The sequence below is a fragment of the Homo sapiens genome, chromosome 21, assembly GCF_000001405.40.
Source record: "Homo sapiens chromosome 21, GRCh38.p14 Primary Assembly".
Classification (NCBI taxonomy): Eukaryota; Metazoa; Chordata; class Mammalia; order Primates; family Hominidae; genus Homo; species Homo sapiens.
This window is the reverse complement of record NC_000021.9, coordinates 31,644,032-31,669,397: the sequence shown is the minus strand read 5'-3', so window position 1 is coordinate 31,669,397 and position 25,366 is coordinate 31,644,032. Positions and strand designations below refer to the sequence as shown.

The 25,366-nt window shown below is 45.2% G+C and overlaps 1 protein-coding gene, 1 long non-coding RNA gene and 1 other non-coding gene across 3 annotated transcripts, besides 7 other annotated features; 1 reads left to right on the top strand and 2 right to left on the bottom strand.

Moving 5' to 3' along the window:
• SOD1 (superoxide dismutase 1) lies at window positions 467-9,705 on the bottom strand. Its single transcript, NM_000454.5, has 5 exons — window positions 9,557-9,705; window positions 5,512-5,608; window positions 2,880-2,949; window positions 2,023-2,140; window positions 467-927 (listed from the first exon to the last, which is right to left on the bottom strand). Exons 1-5 carry the CDS (start codon window positions 9,626-9,628, stop codon window positions 820-822), a joined length of 465 nt encoding a protein of 154 aa, NP_000445.1. The 5' UTR covers window positions 9,629-9,705; the 3' UTR covers window positions 467-819.
• LOC124900469 (small nucleolar RNA SNORA81) lies at window positions 4,916-5,092 on the bottom strand. Its single transcript, XR_007067939.1, has one exon. It is a non-coding gene; the product is annotated as a small nucleolar RNA SNORA81 (small nucleolar RNA).
• Window positions 7,345-7,853: an enhancer, noted in NCBI's record as "H3K4me1 hESC enhancer chr21:33033858-33034366 (GRCh37/hg19 assembly coordinates)". NCBI's record gives its function as "activates a minimal SCP1, AML or CMV promoter by ChIP-STARR-seq in primed H9 embryonic stem cells {active_cell/tissue: H9 hESC(primed)}" and the evidence as "EXISTENCE:reporter gene assay evidence [ECO:0000049][PMID:30033119]".
• Window positions 7,854-8,363: an enhancer, noted in NCBI's record as "H3K4me1 hESC enhancer chr21:33033348-33033857 (GRCh37/hg19 assembly coordinates)". NCBI's record gives its function as "activates a minimal SCP1, AML or CMV promoter by ChIP-STARR-seq in primed H9 embryonic stem cells {active_cell/tissue: H9 hESC(primed)}" and the evidence as "EXISTENCE:reporter gene assay evidence [ECO:0000049][PMID:30033119]".
• Window positions 8,863-9,062: an enhancer, noted in NCBI's record as "active region_18354". NCBI's record gives its function as "activates an Ori minimal core promoter by ATAC-STARR-seq in GM12878 lymphoblastoid cells {active_cell/tissue: GM12878}" and the evidence as "EXISTENCE:reporter gene assay evidence [ECO:0000049][PMID:35858748]".
• Window positions 9,223-9,502: a silencer, noted in NCBI's record as "silent region_13242". NCBI's record gives its function as "represses an Ori minimal core promoter by ATAC-STARR-seq in GM12878 lymphoblastoid cells {active_cell/tissue: GM12878}" and the evidence as "EXISTENCE:reporter gene assay evidence [ECO:0000049][PMID:35858748]".
• Window positions 9,374-15,811, top strand: SOD1-DT (SOD1 divergent transcript). The gene is given in 3 exon segments (NR_187558.1): window positions 9,374-10,001; window positions 11,303-11,464; window positions 13,971-15,811. It is a non-coding gene; the product is annotated as an SOD1 divergent transcript (long non-coding RNA).
• Window positions 9,773-10,092: a silencer, noted in NCBI's record as "silent region_13241". NCBI's record gives its function as "represses an Ori minimal core promoter by ATAC-STARR-seq in GM12878 lymphoblastoid cells {active_cell/tissue: GM12878}" and the evidence as "EXISTENCE:reporter gene assay evidence [ECO:0000049][PMID:35858748]".
• Window positions 14,456-15,004: an enhancer, noted in NCBI's record as "H3K27ac-H3K4me1 hESC enhancer chr21:33026707-33027255 (GRCh37/hg19 assembly coordinates)". NCBI's record gives its function as "activates a minimal SCP1, AML or CMV promoter by ChIP-STARR-seq in naive H9 embryonic stem cells {active_cell/tissue: H9 hESC(naive)}" and the evidence as "EXISTENCE:reporter gene assay evidence [ECO:0000049][PMID:30033119]".
• Window positions 15,005-15,555: an enhancer, noted in NCBI's record as "H3K27ac-H3K4me1 hESC enhancer chr21:33026156-33026706 (GRCh37/hg19 assembly coordinates)". NCBI's record gives its function as "activates a minimal SCP1, AML or CMV promoter by ChIP-STARR-seq in naive H9 embryonic stem cells {active_cell/tissue: H9 hESC(naive)}" and the evidence as "EXISTENCE:reporter gene assay evidence [ECO:0000049][PMID:30033119]".
• Window positions 15,812-25,366: the final 9,555 nt, after the last annotated feature.

Sequence of the window (25,366 nt, the reverse complement as noted above, 5' to 3'; positions counted from 1 at the left end):
CCAGAACCCACAGTCAAACATTTCCTTGGTTCCATCTTCTAATGCTACAGATTGCTTTAAAGGGCTAATCTGTAAGTAGGTTGTGCCAGCGTCTACCCTTGAATGTAGAATTTGTGCCATTCTGGCAGGTAGATAATCTTACTAGCTAGCTGAGGCTGTAACTTGCCTTTCAAAGCTCACTAAAAAGTTATCAAATGGCTCTCTTACATCATAATGTCTTTTTAAAATGAGGAGGTACTTTATGAATCAAAATGCTAAAATGACTAAGCAGGAACATTTCCCTAAAGCTTTCAAAGGACAGCCTATTTGTCTAAGCAGAGTTGTGTTAGTTTTAGCTAAAAGACCTGCTGTTTTAAAGTATGCATTTTGATGGTCTCAAAACACTTTCAAAATAAAATGCTATCACTGTTAGTATTACTAAATCTGTTCCACTGAAGCTGTTTATATAAATAAGTATCAGAGCTAATTTAGTTTGAATTTGGATTCTTTTAATAGCCTCATAATAAGTGCCATACAGGGTTTTTATTCACAGGCTTGAATGACAAAGAAATTCTGACAAGTTTAATACCCATCTGTGATTTAAGTCTGGCAAAATACAGGTCATTGAAACAGACATTTTAACTGAGTTTTATAAAACTATACAAATCTTCCAAGTGATCATAAATCAGTTTCTCACTACAGGTACTTTAAAGCAACTCTGAAAAAGTCACACAATTACACTTTTAAGATTACAGTGTTTAATGTTTATCAGGATACATTTCTACAGCTAGCAGGATAACAGATGAGTTAAGGGGCCTCAGACTACATCCAAGGGAATGTTTATTGGGCGATCCCAATTACACCACAAGCCAAACGACTTCCAGCGTTTCCTGTCTTTGTACTTTCTTCATTTCCACCTTTGCCCAAGTCATCTGCTTTTTCATGGACCTGTAAAAAATTTTAAGAAGATAACTTTGGGCTGTCAAGTAATCACTACCTCCTCCCAACAATACCCAAAAGATGTTTAAGAACCTCATAATATTAGAAAAATAACATTAATCCTAGTAGAGAGATATACTAATATTTAGTAGTTTAAAAGTAGAAACTACTACTCAAAGCTTTTTCTTGGTGTTGCAAAGACATTACCTTTAAACATTAGGTAAGTGTTGCTGTCTAAATGAAATACTAAAACCCAAATAACTATGTTGTAGACCACCACACGCTACCCTTAATCCTCCATGGTAAGTTACAGTAACCTTAGTTCCGCAGTCACTCTTACTTTGGCAGTTTTTTTAATTGCTTTGGAAAAAAAGGAAAGTGAAAGTGAATAAAACTCAAAATTTCATGCCAAATGAATGACGGGCCTATAAGTAAGGTATAATCCTAAAAAATCTTAATACTTTAAGCAACAGTATTTTGAATTTTGTTCAACAAACCTTTATAAATGATTTTTCTGCTTTACAACTATGGCTCAAGAAAAACCATAAAAATAAAGGGTTAACTGAATGGAAGTGACTACTGAATGTTAATGCCCTCAAGGGGAGGTAAAAGAGAGCCTGTCTACTTGGTGTTTTGCAAGAACCAGATGCAGTTCCCCAGGATAACTTGGGACAACAGCTTCCCACAAGTTAAACAAGTCATGATAACCTGCAGTCCTGAATGAACATGAATGAACATGAATACTTAAGTCCATCCCAGGTTTTAAACTTAACAAAATGTTCTGTTTAACAAGTGAGAAACCCAATCCTGGCAAGAAAATCTGGCCATTTTAAAACTAAAGACTACTTCTGTTTTCCAAACTCAGATCTAATATGGTCAAATGTAACCTGCTTTTTACTGCATCTTAGCAGAACAGTGTTCTTAACTGACCTAGATAAAATAATTCATTTTCACCGTAATTGTCCAATAAAATTGCTTTTCCTAATTTGAACTGCAAGTACAGTTTATCTGGATCTTTAGAAACCGCGACTAACAATCAAAGTGAAAAGATACATGACTGTATGTTAGAAGAAGTTTTATGCATATCCTTTTATGAAAACTTACCACCAGTGTGCGGCCAATGATGCAATGGTCTCCTGAGAGTGAGATCACAGAATCTTCAATAGACACATCGGCCACACCATCTTTGTCAGCAGTCACATTGCCCAAGTCTCCAACATGCCTAATAATGAAAAAGCATCAGATGGATTAGGGCTGATGCCACTAAACATCAAGGTAGTTCATGAGCTAAATTAAAACTTGACTGAGTAGACACAAATTTGCAAACAAGTAGCTAGGCATTCTAAATACAGCTCTTCAAACAAGGCTTCACGTCTACACACTAATGCTCTGGGAAGAAAGATGGGGCTGCACCTGATTTCAGAAGTACCAAAGGGTAAACTCTCAGTTACTGAGTTATGCCTGTTAATTACTGGCATAGCTAACAAAGCTATGTCCCAAGGCCTCTGATATAAAAATCTTGTCCTTAAATTTAATATTTTTCTGAAAGGCTTTCAGAAAACATACACATATAAATGGAGTCTCGACTAGTTTTCAGTATCAATTTTTTTTTTTATCTACAGAAGCTTCCTATGTTTCACAATGATGATTGATTTTGCTAGTGGTTGACAGTACTGTTCATGACATTTCCTGTATTAGTTCCCCTTTGGCACTTGTATTAGTTCTATATTCAATAAATGCTACAAAACCAAATCGTTTTAAGTGTCCCCATTTGTCAATTCCTTTAAGCCCAGGAAGTAAAAGCATTCCAGCATTTGGGAGCAGGGGTTTAGATGAGTCAGCAAGTTCAAAAGCAAAGGTGGGGGAAACACGGAATTATCTTAGCACATATTTACAAGTAGTATACCATATGAACTCCAGAAAGCTATCGCCATTATTACAAGAGTTAAGCATCTTGTTACCTCTCTTCATCCTTTGGCCCACCGTGTTTTCTGGATAGAGGATTAAAGTGAGGACCTGCACTGGTACAGCCTATTTATAAGAAGAAGAAAAAAAAGCTAAATTATGAATTAAAGTTCCCAAATACATTCTAAAAAGAAACACTGCTAAAACTTCCCATGGAGAAAGTGCTGACCTGCATCACGACTTCTGGGATAAGCAACACCTTGGTACAGCCACAGTGAGAAGGGAACAGAAACAAGTCTATGGCCAGGCATGGTGGCTAACACCTGGAACCCCAGCACTTTGGGAAGCTGAGGTGGCTGGATCATCTGAGGTCAGGAGTTTGAGACCAGCCTGGCCAGCATAGCAAAACCCTGTCTCTACTGAAAAAATACAAAAATTAGCTAGGCGTGGTGGTGCGCACCTATAGTCCCAGCTACTTAGTAGGCTGAGGCAGGAGAATCGCTTGAACCTGGGAGGCAGAGGTTGCAGTGAGCTGAGATCGCACCACTGCACTCCAGCCTGGGCAACAGAGCAAGACTCCATCTCAAAAAAAAAAAAAAAAAAACCCCACCAAGTTCTAACTACTGTCTGACACTTGTAAAGTTAACACCCTTCTCTGGGCTTTGGCTTCTTCACTGTAAAAATAAGGGACCAGACTGATCTTCAACAGTTTTTCTATTATTAAAATCCCATGGTTATGATCCAAATTCTTAAGAACGTAGTATACTTTACAAAAAACTCATCTCCCCAGCAACATATGCCAAGCAGTTCTATCTGTGCCCTTTACTTGGTGCAGGCAGAATATTCAACAGCATCTTATGTGCAAGGGCCAAGGCTGCTGCCTTACACAACTCGAGGGGGCGGCATTCCAACTGTATCCTGTGTAGAAGGTGCTGCTGTGCACCAGGGGATGACATTCACAGAGCACAACCTCGACAGCACAGGAGGCCCTTTCATAACACGGCTGTCTTCAGCCACGCTCTCACCCGCAGGAGTCCCACACAGGGAGAAAGGCAGGCAAGTTACAGGAAGCAGCAGAGCAATCACCTCCCAGACCAGAGGCGGTAAAGCCAAAAAGCAACTCGGGGGAATTTCAGCAATTACAGAAATGGATCAAATCTGATCATTACAAATCACTATTTGAAACTAAATTAGCAAGATGAATAAAGTTAATTTAAGAAGAAATCTATAAACAAAAAAATCAGATTATTACTCAAATATGGCAAAAGATCACTAAATGCAACTTAACTCATAAACTTCTGTTAACTTGCTTCCAATCCCAAATTAAGAAAATAAAATTTGGCAGTTTCTCTGAACCTACTCTGGTTCAGGGGTTGCCTGATTTTTTAAAAATACTTTAAAAAAATTTTTTTTAAGCATATTCCAAAGTACCAATAATCCTCTGCATTCCATCTTCAGTTTGTATCATACTTTGGTCCCACTAAGAAGCCTGTGTTTGGGGTGTAGAGCTACTCTTACATGGCATTATGCAAATAAATGCAGCCCCTTTGCTCGAGGCACCCACCCTCAACCCCCAGCTCAAACACCTGGGATCATTACAAAAGTTAAGAGCCCAAGTTTTTATTTCCTATTTGCCTTCTTTAAAAAACACCCTCTTCTGGCTGGGTGCGGTGGCTCATGCCTGTAATCCCAGCACTTTGGGAGGCTGAGACAGGCGGATCACGAGGTCAGGAGAGAGACCATCTTGGCTAACACAGTGAAACCCCGTCTCTACTAAAAATACAAAAAATTAGCCAGGCGGGGTGGCGGGCACCTGTAGTCCCAGCTACTCAGGGGGCTGAGGCAGGAGAATGGCATGAACCCGGGAGGCGGAGCTTGCAGTGAGCCGAGATCGCGCCACTGCACTCCAGCCTGGGCCACAGAGTAAGACTCCGTCTCAAAAAACAAACAAACAAAAAAACACCCTCTTCTACAATGATGCTGTAAGACAAAACATCAACTCTTTCCCTTTCTTTTCCACACCTAGGTATCAAAGCCCAGTTTTGTGGCTAATCTTAAGGTTGATCTTCTTCTCTTTTTTTGGTTTCTAAAGACACACTACACCAAATCTTAAGACAAAGGGCACTGGACCTTCAGAAGCAGGTCCACCCCAGTCTTCACAATCTAGTGCAGTTACTTTTCTTGTGTGTACTCTGCTGGCATTATTACAAAAATCAGGATATGGTCCCAGTTCCTGCAATTTTAGCACAGTGCTTATATACAATAAAGTTGACCTCTTTTTTAAAAGAAAAGTTGAGGGTTTTCCCAGGCACAGTGGCTCACACATGTAATCCCAGCACTTTGGGAGGTCGAGGAGGATAGACCACTTGAGCCCAGCAGTTCAAGACCAGCCTGGGCAACATGATGAAACCCCACCTCTAGAAAAAAATACAAAAATTAGCCAGGCGTGGTGGTGTGTACCTGTAGTCCCAGCTACGGGCCAAGGCATGAGGATCAATGGAGCCTGGGAGGTCAAGGCTAAGGTCAGCCATGATCGCACAGCGCCACTGCACTCCAGCCTGAGCGACAGAGCAAGACCCTTTCTCAAAAACAAAAACAAGTTGAGGGGTTTTAACGTTTAGGGGCTACTCTACTGTTTATCTAACTAGGGTGAACAAGTATGGGTCACCAGCACAGCACAACACCCACCTGCTGTATTATCTCCAAACTCATGAACATGGAATCCATGCAGGCCTTCAGTCAGTCCTTTAATGCTTCCCCACACCTTCACTGGTCCATTACTTTCCTTTAAGAAAAGTGCAAAGTTGGAGAGAGTTTCTGAACAAAGAAAACAGCTGATTTACCTTTACCCCTCACAGTGAAGTAAAAAGCAGCCAGACTTGGGAGTGGAAAAATCTGTGTCCAAATCCCAGGCTGACCACTTTCTAGCCAGTGAACCTCCAGCAAGCTGCTTAACTGCTCTAGGCCTGTGTCCTCAAAAGGGAGATGGTAATCTTGTTCCCACACTCAATGCACAAGCACCCTGTGGCCAGGCTTCATGATTAAATAACATAAAAAGCACCTAATAGAGTGGCAAGCAAAGTGAGTACCTACACATCAGTGTTAGATACTTCATAGGCTTTGACTATTACAGTAAATAGGTAATGTAAGTACCTATTTATGTAGTAAATACTTTTGAATAGGTTATATTTGTACATGTTGAATATACATGTACATGTAAACGTTTTTTATTTTGAGACAAGAGTCTCGCTCTGTCGCCCAGGCTGGAGTGCAGTGGCATGATCTCAGCTCACTGCAAGCTCCGCCTCCCGGGTTCACGCCATTCTCCTGCCTCAGCCTTTTTAACCCAAAAGGTGTATGTCTCATCCTACACTCTGGAGCCCCTTGCTTTTTCTCCACGCACACCCTTTTCCATATGGCATACTCACTTGACTTTAAAAAAAAAAAAAGAAAAAGTCGCCCTGGAAATGTCCAACAGGCTACCCTGGGACCCCTGCTCTCCACTCCCCACTCAGTGAGTGTTTTTAAGTGTCCATCATAAGTTTTTTTCTTTTTTTTTTTGAGACGAGTCTCGCTCTGTCGCCCAGGCTGGAGTGCAGTGACATGATCTCGGCTCACTGCAAGCTCCGCCTCCCAGGTTCATGCCATTCTCCTGCCTCAGCCTCCTGAGTAGCTGGGACTACAGGCGCCCACCACCACACCCGGCTAATTTTTTTGCATTTTTAGTAGAGACGGGGTTTCACCGTGTTAGCCAGGATGGTCTCCATCTGCTGACCTCGTGATCCACCCGTCTCGGCCTCCCAAAGTGCTGGGATTACAGGCGTAAGCCACCACGCCCGGCTATCACAGGTATTTTTAATTAGCAGTCAGAAAATATTATATTCCACTGCCCCCAGGAGAGGACTGATTCTAGTCTAACCAGACGTACTACTGCTTTCTGAAATCTTTTCAAGCACTGAAACCTAGGTAACCTTTCCACTCTACCAAAATGAAAGCAAGCAGTATAGCCATTCAGGTAATGGTGACAGGTAATGGTGCTCCGTGGCTACATACAGAAATCAAGGAAGTTACAACTAGATCTCAGGACTAAAATAAACACAACATCCACACCACACCGTCATACAACATGTCAGTGTCTCTTGTTTTTAGCTTGGTTTGTTTTCAAATACGGCCAACAGTTAAGGGGCATTAACCCTTAAGATGTGACTTTCCACTGGAAAATATCATTGCTCAAATGAAGTATCCTGGCAATTGCTGCCTTTTTAAATTCTTTTCTTTTTGACAATAGATACTGTGACTCTTCTACAACCTTTAATTTTGGAAAAACTCAAATGTGAAAGTTGTCCCTCAAACACTCTGTTATCAAGAGCACAGGGCCAAAAACAGCAGGTTCTTTGAAACCTCCATTTAACCGGTAATACATTCAGGACATCTAAGTAGCTGTGCTCGGGTACAACCCTGCAGGGACCAGGCTATGAACTTAAGTGAATAACACAGGCCTGGGAAGCGAAAAAATATATGAACTGCTACAGCAGTACTGTCCTGGGCTAATGAAGGCTCAGTATGAAGAGATCTCCAAAAATTCTTCAAGAGAAGCTAGGAAAACTGGATTAATACGTGAAAAATTCTGATCTGTAAAAACTAGCAAAGAGTCCAAGATTTTAAACACGGAATAGGCCAAGCCAAGTAGCTGATAGCCAATGTATTATCTCTGCATATCTGGAAAGCTGGAATGCTCCACTATCCAAGGCTCATTCTCAGGTACAACGGGCACCAAACAAAACGAAGTCAGGCGCTTAAAAGAAGGAACTATGCAAGCTGCTCAGGGAAGGTGGAAAACCTGGGTTCATGCATGGATTCTCAATGGCCAGGGAGAAGGGATTCCTCAGAGGCGTCTTAAGAATAGCACTGGTGGCCGGGCGGGGTGGCTCACGCCTGTAATCCCAGCACTTTGGGAGGCCGAGGCGGGTGGATCACGACGTCAACAGATCGAGACCATCCTGGCCAACATGGTGAAACGCCGTCTCTACTAAAATATAAAAAATTAGCCAGGCGTGGCGGCGCGCGCCTGTAGTCCCAGCTACCCGGGAGGCTGAGGCAGGAGAATTGCTTGAACCTGGGAGGCGGAGGTTGCAGTGAGCTGAGATCGCGCCACTGCACTCCAGCCTGGGCGACAGAGCGAGACTTGGTCTGAAAAACAAAACACTAGTACTGGTGAATTATGTGGGGAGAAGTAAAGAGGGACAAAAAGAAGTCTGACAAATGAAACAGCAAAATGGAGTCAAATGCCAAAGAACCTTTTCCAGAAAATCTGGAGACCTATTAAAGAAAAAGGCTAAACTCATTATCTCCCTCACATATATTTCAGACATTTACACAGACTAACTGTTCCTGTCCTCTCACGTTTCTGTAAACCCCTTTAAAGACTGAATCTCATTCGTATAGTAAATATTCCCTCATGATTTTTAAGCCGAGTGCAAGAGAAAATTTTCCACCAGTTGGTAACTTCACTAAGGTTCTGGGGACAGTGTTATCACAAGCACCTTCCTTGCAACACGTTTTGTAATTTTACTGATAAAAGTTCTGAAAATATTTCTGTATATTTTACAAGAGTCGTTCAGAAGTTTGTCTCTGACCATCTTAGCAACCTGCCTACTGGCAGAGCAATTTTAAAGCCACTTTACGAAAATGTGGCTTAAGAAATGCTCCGACAACAGTTATTAAGTGCCAATTCGGTGTAATGGAAACTCCAGGTCTTCTAATTTCCAAATACGAAACTCCACCCACTGTCCTCAAACGACAGTTCTCAATCGTAGGTGCACATCAAAATCACTTTTGGAAACTTTCAAAAAACAGCAATACTCACCCTGCACTAGGACAGGTTTTGATGTAATTGGTCGGAGGTTGGGCTCTGGTGTATTTTTAGTAAGATCTTCAAATAAGCTAACTGTGCACCCAAAGTTAAGATCACTGCCCTCAAAAATCCCCAAAAGGGTCAGTTAAACCTCTGGCTCCCGGAGCTTAGGAGGAGGAAAAGGACCTCTGTTCAAGGCTACCTTCTCTGCCCTTGCAGCCCAATCATGACCTAGAACAGAGGCCAGCAAACTTCCCTGCAAAGTGTCACACAAACGGTCTCTGTTGCGTATTTTTGTTTTCCAAAGCCTTTTAAAAATATAAAAACCATTCCTAGCCTTAGAGCTGTACAAAAGCGAAGACTCCCTGACCTAGAGCGCTGAAGCCGGAAAGCGGAGAGGGATGCGAAGACACCAGGCGGGCCCAGGCGCAGTCGCCATCCCCGGGCTGGGCCTGGCACTGCGCCACTCGGTGTCCGCGGGACCCTCAGGAACGAGAACACGGCCAAGCAAGGGACGAGCACAGCCGCTCCAGGCACCACGACAGACCCGCGGCGGCGGCCCAAGGACCACAGAGGGCAGCACGCCCGCCCCCGCCCCTCCCCGGCCCGCGGCAATCCCTCCCCGCGCTCCCGCCACGCGCAGGCCCAGCCCCGCGGCGGCCTCGGTCCCACGCCCCGCGCCCGGGCCCGCCCGGTGACTCAGCACTTGGGCACCGCACCGCTGGGGGCGAAGGCACCGACCGGGCGGCACGGGCCGGGACCGGGCGCTGGACCAGGGCGGCCCCGAGGCCTGGCGGGCGACCCGCTCCTAGCAAAGGTGCGCGGGGGGACGAGCGGGTGGGAGCGGCCTCGCAAACAAGCCTCCGTCCCAGCCCTTGCCTTCTGCTCGAAATTGATGATGCCCTGCACTGGGCCGTCGCCCTTCAGCACGCACACGGCCTTCGTCGCCATAACTCGCTAGGCCACGCCGAGGTCCTGGTTCCGAGGACTGCAACGGAAACCCCAGACGCTGCAGGAGACTACGACGCAAACCAGCACCCCGTCTCCGCGACTACTTTATAGGCCAGACCTCCGCGCCTCGCCCACTCTGGCCCCAAACCAATCGCCTCGCACGCGCTCAGCCCGCCCCCTGCGGCAGCCTCGGGTCGCGAGTGGCCGGGAATGACTGGGGGCGGGGCCAAGGGGCCGCGTGCGCCGGAGACTCCCCCCGCCCCGCAGCCGGGAAACGTCCAGAACCCCGAAATGTGGAGAAAACAACCTTCTTTTCACGGGGGCGTGGCCCGCCGGTTGCAGTACGCGAAATTGGCAAAATGATGTAAACAGGGTACGCTTTGAAAATCTGAAGTCACTTTGTCTAGAAATGTCATTAGTTATGACTGAGTTTGGCCACAGCGTCTCATTTGTTACTCAGCAATTGGGACGCCCCAAGATGGATGCTTTTGTAGTTTTCATTTTTTTGTCTTGTTTTTTAGTTTTCTGAGGGTATAGAAAGTCGCTACACCTCAATCCCGGGACTTACCTTTTCTTCCCCTGCAATTTTCTTAGTCCTTAGTATAGAGTTTCTTATTTGGTTGGCAGAATTCGGTATTCTTTTTATATTTTTCCTGTTTGGCAAGGCCACAACCCTACAGATAACCAAACGGCAACTAGTTGGCTTCTAGGCATCACCTGCGTTTTTGTCTGGCCTAAAGGCCACAACACTCAAGGAGGGTAGAATGGTGAAATAATTTATGATGCCTCCATACAACAGGAATGATAAATATGACTTACCTTTCAAGGGAAATATTTCAAAAACATATTGTGAAATGAGAAAATAGTGCAAACTACTTTTGTCCGGGGCGAGGGGGTTGTTTGTTTGATTTTTGAGACAGGGTCTCGCTCTGTCACCCAGGCTGGAGTGCAGTGGCGCCATCATAGCTCACTGCAGCCTCCACCTCCTGGGTTCAAGCCATCCTCCTGCCTCAGCCTCCCAAGTACCTGGGACCACAGGCATGTGCCACCACACCTGGCTGATTTTTGTATTTTGGGTACAGATGGGGTTTTACCATGTTGCCCAGGCTGGTTTCAAACTCCTGAGCTCAAGCCAGCCATCTACCCACCTCGGCCTCCCAAAGTGCTGGGATTACAGACATGAGCCACCACGTCCAGCCTAGTACTTAATATTGAGTATGGCAAAATACTGAGACTTAATTGAAGTCCAGTGTGAAACAACAATAGAAGCTATTCCAGCCTCGTTTGGAGTACACTACTATCGATTTATTTACTTATTTATTATTTACGCTATTTAGACCCTCAGACTCTAATGCATCCTCTATCAGAGAAATACAATTCACATTTTTTTATCATCCTCTAGGAAGTATACATATTTGCAGTTTTGCCTGTTGTATTTGGTAGTAGTCTCCAGATAATTCGTATATTCTAAACGGTTGCATAAACAGTGCAAATGCTGGCCAAAGGGCCTTTGCCCAAGGCTAAAGTTTCTTTGGGTTCCAGGAAGTTCGGCAGATTTCAGTTCATTGTAAACTTGCCAAGGGATCCGCCCACAGACACGAGAGAGCTGCTTTGGGACAGTGAATTACTCTTCTTTTGAGACGGTCTAATGATGCCTGGGTGGTGCCTTCGTAGGATGGTCGTCACACCTGAACAAGGGGGTCCCTGGCCCCAGGCCCCATGCTTTACTGGGCCCTGTTCTGTCCCTCTTCTGGCATCATCTCCCATGGAGAAAAGAATGTGTTGAAGCCAAGAAGATGCTCCCCCCGCAAGAATATCATCTCTGCTAGAACAGGGGTAAGGAATTTAACTCTGTGATATTTAAGAGTATTTATATCTTCCTAATGCAGGGCATCGAATGTGGGCACTATGGACATTTTGGGCCAGACAGTTCTTTGCTGTGGAGGCTGTCCTGTACACTGTAGGATGTTCAGTAGAATCCCTAGCCCCTACTCACTAGATGCCAGTAATACCCTGTCCCTCCCTGCCAGGCTGGGATAACCAAAAATAATTCCAGACGTTGCCAAATCACTCCCAGTTAAGAATCACTGTTTTTATTTATTTATGTATTTATTTTGATATGGAGTCTCACTCTGTCACCAGGCTGGAGTGCAGTGGTGCAATCTCAGCTCACTGCAACCTCCGCCTGCTGGGTTCAAGTGATTCTCCTGCCTCAGCCTCCCGAGTAGCTGGGACTACAGGCGTGCACACCATGCCTGGCTAAGTTTTTGTATTTTTAGTAGAGATGGGGTTTCACCATGTTGGCCAGGCTGGTCTCGAACTCCTGACCTCAAGTGATCTGCCAGCCTCGGCCTCCCAAAGTGCTGGGATTACAGGTGTGAGCCACCACACCCGGCCAAGAACCACTGTTTAGAACACCACTTGAGTACCCGGATCCTGGAATTTCCTGCCCAAAGAGCCCTGAGCCTGTGTATAGGATCCTGAACAGGCCACACAGGGACTGTCCCTTGTTGAGTACACTGCTAGCCTTGAACGTAGGCCCTGCCCAGTGCCACAAGGAGCAGGGGTGGGGAAAGGAGGAAAGGCCAGGGGCGGGCAGGCAGCCAGCTCTCCACTGCTACCCTTCTACGTAGAACTGAAAGAAGTCCAAGAATTCCACATTTCAACCTGCCTTCCAGGTCTTTATGAAGGTATATTTGTTAAGACAGGATGATAGAGCCTTGGTTGTTTGGAACCCTGGAACGTGGGTTGAATCTGGCACATGTAATTAGCCGGGCATGGTGGTACACCCCTGTAGTCCAAGCTACTTGGGAGGCTGAGGTAGGAGGATCGCGTGGGCCCAGGAGGTTGAGGCTGCAGTGAGTTGTGATCGCACCATTGCACTCCAGCCTGGGCAACAGAATGAAATCCTGTCTCAACAATAATCATCATCATCATCGTGGAGTATCTAACTTAAATAAAATAAAATAGGGAAATCAGATGAGAGGGACCTTTGCACTTGAACCCCAGGGTTTAAAGAAGCAGAACAGGCAAACCCTGTCAGAAAGAAGAAAAGAGAGTGAGAGAGAAAGAGAAAGAAAGAGAAAGAGAGAAAGAAAAAGAAAGAGAAAGAAGAAGGAAGGAGGGAGGGAGGGAAGAAAGGGAGGAGGGAAGGAGGGAAGGAATTAGAGAAAGAGGAGAATGTGGCACATGTAGACAGTTCAACTTTGTCAGGAATGGTGAGGAGGAATAGATGCCTTAAATCAGATGGCGGCACGTGCAGATGACTAAACCGCTTGTAATGTGTCATTTCAGCCTTCCTGAGAGTGAAAATTCATGTTTGGGGACCTCTGTGGTTAAAAGGTGGGCAAAAAGGTAGACCAGAAATTTTTTTTTTTTTAGATGGAGTGTTGCTCTGTCGCCCGGGCTGGAGTGCGGTGGTGCAGTCTTGACTCACTACAGCCTCACCCCGCTGGGCTTAGGCAATTCTCCAACCTCAGCCTCCCAAGTAGCTGGGACTGCAGTTTCAATAATTCTCTCTAGACCTCAGCTGCAAATCAAAGGCACTGGGCCTAGATGCAGTGTTTATCAACCCTGGCTGCACAATAGAATCACCTGGGCAGTTGAAAACTAAAACAAAAAATACTGTGCTTAGGCCCAATTATATTAAAACCTTAAAATTGTATATCTTTATACTGTAAATACACATTTCATTGCTGTAAGAGTCATAAGAAACCCTCAATGGTTATCGATGGAAGTAGGCTGCTTATCTGTGTACTTTTCATCACGAGAAAAATAAACCTTTATTTGGTTAAATAGCGTAACCACATTTGTTACATGCAGTCAAAAGCAATTTCTAACTGACAGAGAGGAGAAGCCACCAGAGGGGTGTCCACAGGGAGTCAGAATGGTCTCTGGAATAGCTCAGTGGGTGGACTGAGAGCAGATGGGGTGAGACTCAAGGCAGAGAGGCCATTTGGGAGACAGGATAAGAGCCCACCTAAGGCCATCACTGGAAGAAAGCTGGGAGATCACGGAAATGCAACCACAAGTCCAGCCACCCATTAGAGGTGCATGGTGAGAGAGGGAAGGTAAGGGCAGCCCCCAGGTTTCTAGCCCCCTTGGTGCTGTTTACCAAGGAAAGCAGGTTCAAGGACAAAGGGCTTAATTCAGGACAGGGTGCATCTGAAGTGCCTGAAGAACCTATAAGTGCCAGGCTGGAATCATCCTCTTGGATATGGGTCTAAGCCTCAGGATCATTCTTAAGTCTGGACTCCATCTCAGAATTAACACACAGCCTATTCAACGTTCTTGTTTTATTTTGTTCTGTTTTTTTGACACAAGATCTCACTCTGTCACTCAGGCTGGAGTGTAACGGCATGATCTCGGCTCACTGCACCCTCGACTTCCTGGATTCAGGTGATCCCCTCACCTCAGCCTCCCTAGTAGCTGGTGTGTCCGGAATTGGTGGGTTCTTGGTCTCACTGACTTCAAGAATGAAGCCGTGGACCCTCGCGGTGAGTGTTACAGTTCTTAAAGGTGGCGTGTCCGGAGTTTGTTCCTTCTGATGTTCAGATGTGTTCGGAGTTTCTTCCTTCTGGTGGGTTTGTGGTCTCGCTGGCTCAGGAGTGAAGCTGCAGACCTTCGCGGTGAGTGTTACAGCTCTTAAGGCAGCGCGTCTCAAGTTGTTCATTCCTCCCGGGGGGTTCGTGGTCTCATTGGCTTCAGCAGTGAAGCTGCAGACCTTCGTGGTGAGTGTTACAGCTCATAAAGGCAGTGTGGACCCAAAGAGTGAGCAGCAGCAAGATTTATTGCAAAGAAAGACAAAGCTTCCACAGTATGGAAGGGGACCCAAGCAGCTTGCCACTGCTGGCTCAGGCAGCCTGCTTTTATTCTTTTATCTGGCCCCACCCACATCCTGCTGATTGGTAGAGCCGAGTGGTCTGTTTTGACAGGGCGCTGATTGGTGTGTTTACAATCCCTGAGCTAGACACAAAGGTTCTCCACCTCCCCACCAGAGTAGCTAGATACAGAGTGTCGATTCGTGCATTCACAAACCCTGAGCTAGACACAGGGTGCCGATTGGTGCATTTACAATCCCTTAGCTAGACATAAAGGTTCTGCAGGTCCCCACTAAACTCAGGAGCCCAGCTGGCGTCACCCAGTGGATCCCGCACCTGGGCTGCAGGTGGAGCTGCCTGCCACTCCCATGCCGTGCACCCGCACTCCTCAGCCCTTGGGTCGTCGATGGGACTGGGCGCCGTAGAGCAGGGGGCGGTGCTTGTCGGGGAGGCTCCGGCAGCACAGCAGCCCACAGAGAGGGGGAGGCTCAGGCATGGCGGGCTGCAGGTCCCGAGCCATGCCCCGCAGGGAGGCAGCTAAGGCCGGTGAGAAATCGAGCCCAGTGCCGGTGGGCGGCACTGCTCTGAGTACAGGGCCTCCACAGCCGCTGGCCCTGGTGCTAAGCCCCTCATTGCATGGGGCCGGCAGGGCCTGCCGGCTGCTCCGAGTGCGGGCCCGCCAAGCCCACGCACACCTGGAGCTCCAGCTGGCCCGGAAGTGCCCGCACAGCCCCTGTTCCCGCTCATGCCTCTCCCTCCACACCTCCTTGCAAGCTGAGGGAGCCAGCTCCGGCCTTGGCCAGCCCAGAAAGGGGCTCCCACAGTGCAGCGGTGGGCTGAAGGGCTCCTCAAGTGCTGCCAAAGTGGGAGCCCAGGCAGAGGAGGTGCCGAGAGCGAGTGAGGCCTCTGAGGACTGCCAGCATGCTGTCACCTCTCACTGGGACTACAGGTGAGCACCCACACACCCGGCTAATTTTTTTTTTATTTTTTGGTAGAGATGGGGTCTCCCTATGTTGCCCAAGCTCATTTAGAACTCCTGGGCTCAAGCAATCCACCTGCCTCAGCCTCCCCAAGTGCTAGGATTATAGGCATGAGCTACCGCCCCCAGCCTCAAAGTTGTTTTTTAAAAATGTAATTATCTATTCCCTTTAAGGCACATAATTTTCTTAATGAACCTCTACCCTACTAGGTGGGTAGGAGTTGGGTGAGACTTAAACTTGAAATGATAATGCCTAAAGTTTGTGCGGTTTAAACCCCAGGGGTCCCCATCACCTGGGCCATATTGGCTTCAAATTGGCTATATTTGAAGAATTGTCTTGGGCCACACATAAAATACGTTAACACTAATGATAGCTGGTGAGCTAAAAAAAAAAAAAAAAAAAAAAAAATCGCAAAGGCAATCTCACATTTTAAGAAAGTTTATGAATTTGCATTGGGCTGCACCCAAAGCCTTCCTGGGCCACAGGCACCATAGGCTGCGGGTTGGACAAGCTTGGTTTATAGGCCTCATATGTGGTGGGGCTGCTGTTTTAAAAGTCTCATCAGTGCAGATTTTACTTATTGCATGAAGATTGGTATTTAAGTTGAGATGAAGGGTAGTATATTTTGTTTGAGATCATTACACTTGTGAAGAGTTAATTGAGTTGCATGTTTTTCACGTATTATTTAGTCATACCTTTATCATGACAGGATGATTCTGCTTCACAACTTCTTTCTGTTTTTAAGGAAAGGGGCTGGGCATGGTGGTTCAACCCTATAATCCCAGCACTTTTGGAGGCGGAGACGGGCAGATCACTTCAGCCCAGGAGTTTGAGACCAGCCTGGGCAACATGGTGAAACCCCGACTCTACAAAAAATACAAAAACTAGCTGGGCATGGTGGCACACACCTATAGTCTCAGCTACCCAGGAGACTGAGGTGGCAGAATTGCTTGAACTCAGGTGGCAGAGGTTGCAGTGAGCAGAGATCGCACCTCTGCACTCCAGCCTGGGCAACAGAGTGAGACCCTGCCTAAAAAAAAAAAAAAAAAAAAAGAGGCATTGGTTTATTGTTATTGTTCTTTTAAAAAAAATTGCTGCTCCACAACCTGGGAGGTTTGGTTTGTTTTTTTTTTTTAACAGTTTTATTAAGATACAATTTACATACCATACAATTCACCCTTTGTAAGCATGCACTTTAATGATTTTTAAAGTAAATTTATGTAGTTGACAGCTACCAGCACAATGCAGTTTTAAAACATTTCCATCAGCCCAATTTACCTCATGGTAGTTTTTGCTTAATCCCTTCTCCCACCCCAAGCTGCAGGCAACCACTGACCTGCTTTCTGTCAATAAATTTGCCCTTTCTGGACATTTCATGTAAATAGTATCATACAATACACTGTCTTTTGCATCTGGCCTATTGTACTTAGCATGATGTTTTAGAGCTCAGTTCACGTTATAGCACTTATCTGTAATTTGTGCCTTTCTATATGTGAATACTATTCTGTTACATGGATAGACTGTATCTGAGATCGTTTTTCCGCTCATAAGCTGAGGGACATTTGGATGTATTATGGGTTGAATTGTGCCCCATCCCCAAATACATATGTTAAAGTTTTATTTTTTTGGACGGAGTCTCGCTCTGTCACCCAGGCTGGAGTGCAGTGGCGCGATCTCGGCTCACTGCAAGCTCTGCCTCCCAGGTTCATGCCATTCTCCTGCCTCAGCCTCCCAAGTAGCTGGGATGCCCGCCACCACGCCCGGCTAATTTTTTGTATTTTTAATAGAGACTGGGTTTCACCATGTTAGCCAGGATGGTCTCGATCTCCTGACCTTGTGATCCGCCTGCCTCGGCCTTCCAAACTGCTGGGATTACAGGCATGAGCCACCACGCCCAGCCCTGAAGTTTTAACCCCCAATAACTTGGAAGGTGACCATGTTTGGAAATGGGGTTTTGCAGATGTAATTAGTTAAGATAAGGTCATACTGGAGTAGGATGAACCCCTAAGTCCAGCATGACTGGTGTCCTTACAAAAGAGGAAATTTGGACATAAGCACACAGGGAGAACACCCCCATGTGAATATAAAGGCAGAGATAGGTGTGGTGCTTCTACAAGCCAAAGAACACCAGATATTGTCAGCAAACCCCAAAAAGCTAGGGGAGAGGCATGGAGCAGATTCTTCACAGCCTCAGAAGGAACCAGCCTTGCTGATACCTTCATCTCTCCTAGCCTCTGGAACTATGAGACAATGTCTGTTATATAAGCCACTCAGTTTGTGGTAGTTGTTTTTCTGGTTTGTTTGTTTTTCTGAGACAGAGTCTCTCTCTGTCAGCCAGGCTGGAGTGCAATGGCACGATCTCGGCTCACTGCAACCTCCACCTCCCGAGTTCAAGCAATTCTCCTGCCTTAGCCTCCCAAGTAGCTGGGATTACAGGTACCTGCCACTACACCCGGCTCATTTTTTGTGTTTTCAGTAGAGACAGGGTTTTGCCATCATGGCCAGGCTGGTCTCAATCTCCTGACCTCAGGTGATCCACCTCCTCGGCTTCCCAAAGTGCTGAGATTACAGGTATGAGCCACCGCATCCAGCCGTGTGCATGGTAGTTTGTTACAACAGCCTTAGACAGGCATACAGGAGTATTTCCAGTTCTTGAATATTATGAATAATGCTGCTGTAAACACTGGCATTCATGCCTCTGAACACATATGGTTTTATTTCTCTTTGGTTTTTTAACTTTTGTTTAACTTTTTTAAAAAACTGCCAATTAGCTTTTCCAAGTGTCTACATCACTTTACATTTCCATCAGCAACGTATGATGGTTCCATTTTCTCCCCATCCTCACCAACACTTGGTATTGTTTTTCTTTTTTGATTACAGCCATTCTAATGAACGTATAGTAGTATTTCATTGTAACCGTAATTTGCATTTTTCTAATGACTAATGATGTTGAGCACCTTATCATAATGCTGATTAGCAATTTGTATATCTTCTTTAATGAAATGTCCACTTCAGTCTTTTTTCATCTTTATGGCCTTATAACACTGTCTGGGACCCCCAGGGCAGTGTTGAATAGAAGTAGCAAGAACTGACATTTTGCATTGTTCCTGACATTTCAGGGAAATGTTCAGTCTTTTACTGTTAAGTATGATGTTAACTGTGGGTGTTTCATAGATGCACTTTATCCAGGTTGAGGAAGTTCCCATCTATTCCTAGTTTGTTGAGAGTTTTTAACATGAAAGAGTGTTAGATTTTGTTAGAAGGTATTTCTGCATCTATTATTGAGAGGATCATGTAGTTTTTGTCCTTTGTTCTATCAGTATAGTATATTACACTGGTCAAGTTTCAGACGTTAACCAACCTTGAATTCCTATAATAAATCCCACTTGTTCAGAGTATATAATCCTTTATATATGTTGCAGAATTTGGTGTATTAATATTTTGTTAAGGGATATTATTCTGTAATTTTATTTTCTGGTAATAAAAATGTCTTTATTAACTGTTCTCACTGAATGAGTTGAGACTCATTGGACATATATCAATTAGGTCACATAGGTTAATAATGTTTTCTAACTCTTTAATATCCTTGCTGATTTATTGTCTAATTTTTTCATCAATTAGAATAGAATATTGATATCCTCAACTATTGTTGTTGAACTGTCCATATCTTCTTATATCTCTTTTAATTCTGCCAGTTTTGTTTCATGTTTTTGAGGCTTTATTAGCGATGTACATATTTATGACTTGTACATTCCTGACATATTGACTCTTTTATCATTACTAAATGTTCCTCGTTGTCTCCAGTAATATTTCTTGACTTAAAGTTTATGTTAGCTGATAGCCACATAACTAATGACTGCAACTCTCTTATGGTTACTTTTTTTTTTTTTTTTTTGAGACACGGTCTCACTCTGTCTCTGTCACCCAGGCTGTAGTGCAGTGGCCCAATTACGGCTCACTGCAGCCTTGATCTCTGAGGCTCAAGGATCTTCGCACCTCAGTCTCTGAGTAGCTGGGACTACAGGCACGTACCAACAGGCCCTAATTTTTGTATTTTTTGTAGAGATGGGGTTTTGCTGTATTGCCCAGGTTGATCTTAAACTCCTGAGCTCAAGCAGTCCTCCCACCTTGGCCTCCCAAAGTGCTAGGATTTTAGATGCATGTGCTGCCATGTCCAGCCTACTATTTTCATAGCATATCTTTTTCCATGTTTTTACTTTCCACCTATTTGTGTCTTTGAACCTAAGGTGTAACTCTTGCAGACTGCCTATAGTTAGATTTTGCCTTTTTTATCCAATCCAAATATCTTGTTTTTTATTGGAATGTTTAGACCATTCACATTTAATGTAATTAATAAGTTTGGATTTACATTTACCATTTGCTATTTGTTTTCTTTTGTTGTTGCTTAATTTACTTTTCTTTTTTTTTTTTATTTTTTATTATTTTAGAAGCAGGGTCTCATTCTATAGCCCAGGCTAAAGTGCAGTGACGTGATCACAGCTCACTGCAGCCTCGAACTCCTGGGCTCAAGAGATCTTCCCATCTTAGCCTCCCAAGTAGCTAGGACTACAGGCAAACACCACTACACCCCACTAATTTTTCTTTGTATAATTTTATAGAGATGGGGTCTCATTATGTTGCCCAGTCTGGTCTTGAATTCCTGAGCTCAAGCAATCTTCTCACCTCAGCCTCCCAAAATACTAGCATTGCAGGCATGAGCCACCATACCCAACCTGCTATTTGTTTTCCATATGTCTCCTATTTTTGTTTCTCTGCCCCTCTTTCACTGATTTCTGTGTTACATATTTTTTAGTACAGCATTTAAATTCTTTTTTTAACTATTTAAAAATTTTCTTAGTCATTGCAGTATGGATTACAATATGTATTTTTTAATAAGAGCCATCTCAAAGTAATTTTTTCAGCTTTATTGAGGTATAATTGACAAAACTATATATTTAAGGGGTACAACTTGATATTTTGATAACAATATGCATCTTATCTAAATATAGTTCAGATTATTACTAATTTAATTCAGATAAAACATAGAAATTTTGCTTTAATAAAGCTCAATTCTCTTCCCTCTTTTTTGTATTATCATATGTATTACATTTATACATGCTATAAACCCAACAATACAATGTTATAATTATTGCTTTACACAATATTATGCCTTTTTTAAAAGGTAACAGAAGAAATGAGAAAAATATATTTATGGAGTCTTTTCTATCAGCCCACATATTTAACAATTCCAATGGTTTTCTTTTTTTCTTTTCTTTTTTTTTTTTTTTGGTGACGGAGTCTCGCTCTGTCGCCCAGGCTGGAGTGCAGTGGCGTGATCTTGGCTCACTGCAACCTCTGCCTCCTGGATTCAAGCAATTCTCCTGCCCCAGCTTCCCGAGTAGCTGGGACTACAGGCATGCACCACCACGCCTAGCTAATTTTTGTATTTTTAGAGAGATGGGATTTCACCATGTTGGCCAGGATAGTCTCGATCTCTTGACCTCATGATCCACCGACCTCGGCCTCCCAAAGTGCTGGGATTACAGGTGTGAGCCACCACGCCCGGCCTATTTTTGTCCTGTGCATTAAAGTTGCTCTCTGATGTTGCTTTCTTTCACTCTAAAGGACTTCCTATGGCGTTTCTTGAAAGGCAAAACTGTTGTCACTTCCACTGACAGTGCCATAGGTGTGGGCATCACCTGCTACAGCAAATCCAGTAAGCCCCCTCCAACCTGGCAGCACCACTGCAGGTCCTCATGCCTGGTCCTGCCCTGGCAGAACCTCCACACCCACTCGGCTAGAGGAGATGGGAGCAGTCCTAGGAAAGAACGCTTCAGACATCCACTGTTCTTACCCAACGTTCAGCATGTTATCAAGCTTAAACACTTCTCAGATTGTTGTATGAGTTTTATTGATTTCCAGAGCACCAAAATAGTTGTTCTTGTCAATTTTGTTCAGACTTATAGTTGCTTTCTGGGGAGAGGATTTGCTGACTTTTCACATGGCTGTAGCTGGAAATACGCTTCCACCCCCAGTGTTTCTGATTCATTAGACCCGGGGTGCAACTGGAGAATTTGCATAGCCCAAAAAAGAAGTGTGTTACAGTTCCTCCCCCACTCTCTCTCTTGCTCCTGCTTTCACCATGTGAAATGCCTGCTCCCACATTGCCTTCTGCCATGAATAAAAGCTCCCTGAGGCCCCCCCCATGAAGCTGAGTGATGTTGGTGCCATGCTTGTACAGCCTGCAGAACCGGGAGCCAATTAAACTTCTTTTCTTTATAAATTTCCCAGTCTCAGGTATTTCTTTTTTTTTTTTTTTTTTTGAGATGGAGTCTCACTCTGTCGCCCAGGCTGGAGTGCAGTGGTGCTATCTCGGCTCACTGCAAGCTCCACCTCCAGGATTCAAACCCATTCTCCTGCCTTAGCCTCCCGAGTAGCTGAGACTACTGGCTCCCGCCACCACGCCCAGCTAATTTTTTGTATTTTTAGTAGAGACAGGGTTTCACCGTGTTAGCCAGGATGGTCTCAATCTCCTGACCTCGTGATCCACCCACCTCAGCCTCCCAAAGTGCTGGGATTAGAAGTGTGAGCCACTGTGCCCGGCCTTTTTTTTTTTTTTTTTTTTTTTTTTTTTGAGATGGAGTTTCACTCTTGTTGCCCAGGCTGGAGTGCAATGGTGCGATCTTGGCTCACTGCAGCCTCCACCTCCCGGATTCAAGGGATTTTCCTGCCTCAGCCTCCCAGGTAGTTGGGACTACAGGGACGTGCCACCAGGCCCAGCTAATTTTTTTGTTTCTTCACTAGAGACGGGGTTTTGCCATGTTGGCCAGGCTGGTCTCAAACGCCTGACCTCAGGTGATCCACCCACCTCGGCCTCCCAAAGTGCTAGGATTACAGGCATGAGCCACTGTGCCCAGCTGGAAACTCCCATTTTTAAAACCACCAGATCTCATGAGACTTATTCAGGATCACAAGAACAACATGGGAAAGACCCGCCCCCACACCTCCCACCAGGTTTCTCCCATGATACGTGGGAATTGTGGGAGTCGCAATTCAAGGTGAGATTTGGGTGGGGACACAGCCAAACCATATCAGCCTCTGTCTTGTTCCTCCTCTTCTGGTCTGGTTTCTTGTTCCTGTCCATCATTCACAGAGCCACGTGAAGTTTTACCACTGCCACTGCCATCATGAGGACACCCAATTCCATGCCAAGGGTGCTACCTCCAGATACCCCCTATTTCTCTGGTACTGGAGCAGGGCTGGGTTTCATGCTGAGGTAGAGAGTTATAGCCTTCCCCCAAATCCCTGCCACAGTTCCCTGGGCCCCAAGTTGGGTACAGTATTTCAAAGGTCATGCCAGTAGGATTTGCCAATGGTTAAGACGTTGAATGCAAGAGGACAAGAGTCCAGGATAACTCCAAGGTGTTGGTTCAATAGAAGGAGTTGTTGTTAATTAATATGGCCAAGGAGGCTGCCAGTGGAGCAGATGTGAGGAAGAAGACCAGTAGTTTCATTTTGGACACAGTTAAGTTCATGATGTCTCTTAGCTATCTGAGATAAGAAAGGTAATGATGGATGGACCTCCCCTTTTAACTTACACACAGTTACCGTAGTCAAAGAGCAGAACCGAAATGTCAGGATGATTTTCCAGTTCGCTGGCACTATTCATTGCCTCCCCACCAGCCCTCTTCCCTTTCTTCCACTCTGATAGACCTGATTTTGTTCTAGTGTCTATCCTTCCTTATGTGGCCAGCGGAAATTTCAGTTGTCTAAACCAGCCATGGTCATTCATTCTGCTTATCAATGATGAGTTTAGGGGTGAGCTGAAGACCCCCACCCAATTCTGGTATTGACCCAGAGGGAAACTCAGTTGGAAACTTCTGGGATATGTTCTTTTCCTTTTAAAAAAGATATACAGGCCGGGTGCGGTGGCTCATGCCTGTACTCCCAGCACTTTGGAAGGCCGAGGCAGACGAATCACGAGGTCAGGAGTTCGAGACCAGCCTGGCCAACATGGTGAAACCCCGTCTCTATTAAAAATACAAAAAATTAGCTGAGGGTGGTAGCAGGCACCTGTAATCCCAGCTACTCAGGGGGCTAAGGCAGGAGAATTGCTTGAACTGCAGTGAGCCAAGATCATGCCACTGCACTCCAGCCCGGGCAACAGTGTGAGACTCTGTCTCAAAAAAAAAAAAAGCCAGGCATGGTGGCACACCCCTGTAATCCCAGCTACTCGGGAGGCTGAGGTGGAAGAATTGCTTGAACCTGGGAGGTGGAGGCTGCAGTGAGCCAAGATCGTGCCACTGCACTCCAGCCTGGGTGACAGAGTGAGACCCTGTCTCAAAAAACAAACAACAAAAAAAATGATATATAAGGTCGGGCATGGTGGCTCATGCCTGTAATCCCAGCACTTTGGAAGTCCGAGGCAGGCGGATCACCTGAGGCCAGGAGTTCGAGACCAGCCTGGCCAACATGGCAGAACCGTGTCTCCATTAAAACATACAAAAGTTAGCTGGGCATGGTGGCGGGCACCTGTAGTCCCAGCTACTCGGGAAGCTGAGGCAGGAAGAACACTTGAACCCGGGAGACAGAGGTTGCAGTGAGCCGAGATCCCATCACTGCACTCCAGCCTGGGTGACAGAGCAAGGCTCCGTCTCAAAAAACAAACAAACAAAAAAGATACACAAAAAGAAAACTTGATCTCGCTGCTTCTCCTGGACATCTAGAGCAATCATCTTGCAGACGTAATGAGAGTTAGACTGCATAAAACAAGCCAAAAGTGGTAGAGCTAACAGACATCATCTTCCAGTCCATGTATTTGTTAACACGAAGCCACACTTTCTCTGGATTTCTTCTTCTGCGAGATAATACACCTCAGCATTGGTGAAGCCATTTTGAGATGGAGTTTCTTCACTTGTGGGGGAGGGGGCCGAGGGGAAGGATTATCCCGAACATTTAACTAGATAAACTGAAGAGGAAACCACTGAAAGTTCCGGGCAGTAGATTAGGATACCCAACCTATTACTGGCAAGACCAGGACAGTGCCAGCAGCAGGACAATGTGCAGTGCAAGGGACTGACTTGGTGTATGACTTGAGTTAGAAGCTGCTTATTTTGGCACAGGTCTCTCCTTTTTCTTTGCCAGAAAGGGCAGGAATTGCAACTGCACCTGTGGTCCTTATCACTAATGACTTCCTCTATGTTCTTCCTTCACGCACAAGACTTTTCCTGGGTACTGAGAGTCAAAGTCCATGAATTGCTTTCTCCTTATTGCATTTTGTACTTACAAGCCCTTGTTATCAGGCCAGACAGATATTGTTATCCCTATTTATAAACTGGATATTTTATTTTATTTTATTTTTGAGACGGAGTCTCACTCTGTCGCCCAGGCTGGAGTACAGTGGCGTGATCTCGGCTGACTGCAAGCTCCGCCTCCCGGGTTCACACCATTCTCTTGCCTCAGCCTCCCGAGTAGCTGGGACTACTCGGGAGTGCTCACCACCACGCCCGGCTAATTTTTTGTATTTTTTAGTAGAGACAGGGTTTCACTGTGTTAGCCAGGATGGTTTCGATCTCCTGACCTCATGATCCACCCGCCTCGGCCCTCCAAAGTGCTGGTATTACAGGCGTGAGCCACCACGCCCGGCCTAAACTGGATATTTTAATTAAGGACTCAGGGAGGGAAGTGATCACAACCTAGAAATGGGAAAAACCCAGACTTGAACCGAGGTTTTCTGAGTTCAAGGCCAGCACTCTCATCCCCACATGGCATTCATTTTAGAATTTAAAAATGGCATCTAATCATTGTTCTTACTTGATTATTCTAATTTTGCATATTAAGTACAGTATGAGTAAACTATCATTAAGACTCTCATGCATCTTGATTCAACAGAATGTATGCTAAGTACCCAGGCCTTCTAGGGTATGCTTGCTTATCTT